A 2,164-nucleotide genomic window follows, 5' to 3' on the forward strand; every position below is an offset into this window, starting at 1 on the left:
AGATTAATGATTATACATTTCCAAACCTACCCTGCAGTTTGATATGATTATTTGAATATAAGTTCTGGCCAATGGAATGTGAGGGGAAGTGATGTATGGAACTTTCAGGATATGTCCTTAAAGAAAGGGGCTGGCCAGGCGCGGTGGCTCACACTTGTAATCCCAGCACTTTGGGAGGCCAAGATGGGAGGATCACTTGCAGTCAGGAGTTTGAGACCAGCCTGACCAACATGGTGAAACCTCGTCTCTTCTAAAAATACAAAAATTTGCCAGGCATGGTGGCACATGCCTGTAATCCCAGCTACTCAGGAGGCTGAGGCAGGAGAATCACTTGAATCTGGGAGGCAGAGGTTGCAGTGAGCTGAGATGGCACCAATGCACTTCAGCCTGGGCAACAAGAGCGTGGCTCTGTATAAAAAAACAACAACAACAACAAAAAAAAAAAACAAAGAGGGGCCATGCCACTTCTCCAATATGCCCTCCCCTGTCCCCTTTCTTATCCTGCTGTGGACATGGTGGCATCCTTGGCCAAGTGGACTTCAAGCCATACCCCACACCCTAGGGATGGTGAGACAACTAGTTAGAAGAGGACTAGGTCCCAGATTACCATAGTGAGCACAGCTACCATACTAATCAGCCAGGGCCCTGATCATCACTGAACATCCTTTTTGGATATGCCAAAGAGGCAAAAAGAAATGGCCTGACCGCTCTTTAGTTGGCCATTTCCCAGGGTTACGTTTCCATGAGTAGCCTTGAGGGATGAGGTAACATCTCCCAGACAGAAAGCAGGCTTGCTTGCCACTCTGTAAAAATGGTAGATTTCAGCTGCAACGTGAGTCCACTATGTGTACAGTGTTCACCTGGTTCCCTCTGTGTTGTCTTCTTGGGTCTTGGAGGACATGGGGAACTAGCCCCAAAATGATGAGTATGCTACTTGTTGTGCAGTGAGTAATAAAATCCTTTGTCTCACCCTGCCCGGCCTGTTTTGCAATTTTTAATATTATATAAATGATAAATATGTATCCTTTTGTCACTGCTTTTTTTGCCCCCCCTCCCCCACTTAACATTGTAGTTATGAAGTTCATGTCTGAGGCTCTGTGGAGTCCTAGCACAATCATTTTCCTGTTTTCTCATCTGCCATTGCATGGATATACCACAATTTGCTTATCTGCTCTTCAACTGAAGAACCTGAAGTTGTTTCCACATTTTTATTCTTATACATAATATGGCTATAAATATTCTTACACGCATACGCAAGAGATCATCCAGAGTATATTATAGGGAATGAAAATGCTGGGTATTCATGGGGTGTTGCTGGTTTATGTGCAATTTGACTTTATTATATATCAACAATTTGTCCTCCAGAGTGGTTTTACCAACTAAGACATCCACCAGCTGTGTATAAGAGATGCTTCACATTCTCTCCAGCATTCAATCATTCATTCAACACATATTTACTAGTGATCTACTAGTTTGTTCTACTTATGGGTATGCAGTAGTGATAGTTCCCACTCTCTTGGAGCTTCCATTCTCTTGGCATGAGATATCCAATAACAAATAAGCAAATTAATACATAATACATCTGGAGGTGATAAGTCCCTTTTTTTTTTTTTTTTTTTTTTGAGACAAAGTCTCACTCTGTTGCCCAGGCTGGAGTACAGTGGCGTGATCTTGGCTCACTGCAACCTCTGCCTCCCGGGTTCAAGTGATTCTCCCGAGTAGCTGGGATTACAGGCGTGTACCGCCATGCCTAATTTTTTTTTTTTTTTTTTTTTGAGATGGAGTCTCTCTCTGTCGCCAGGCTGGAGTGCAGTGGCACGATCCCAGCTCACTGTAACCTCTGACTCCCCGGTTCTTCTCCTGCCTCAGCCTCCCGAGTAGCTAGGATTACAGGCATGCACCACCACGTCCAGCTAATTTTTGTATTTTTAGTAGAGCCGGGGTTTCACCATGTTGGTCAGGATGGTCTCAATCTCCTGACCTCAGGTGATCTGCCTGCTTGGTCTCCCAAAGTGCTGGGATTACAGGCGTGAGCCACAGCTCCCTAATTTTTGTGTTTTTAGTAGAGACAGGGTTTCACCATGTTGGCCAGGCTGGTCTTGAACTCCTGACAAATGATCCACATTCTTCAGCCTCCCAAAGTACTGGGATTACAGGCGTGAGC

Source organism: Homo sapiens, chromosome 2 (genome assembly GCF_000001405.40).
Source record: "Homo sapiens chromosome 2, GRCh38.p14 Primary Assembly".
Lineage (NCBI taxonomy): Eukaryota > Metazoa > Chordata > Mammalia > Primates > Hominidae > Homo > Homo sapiens.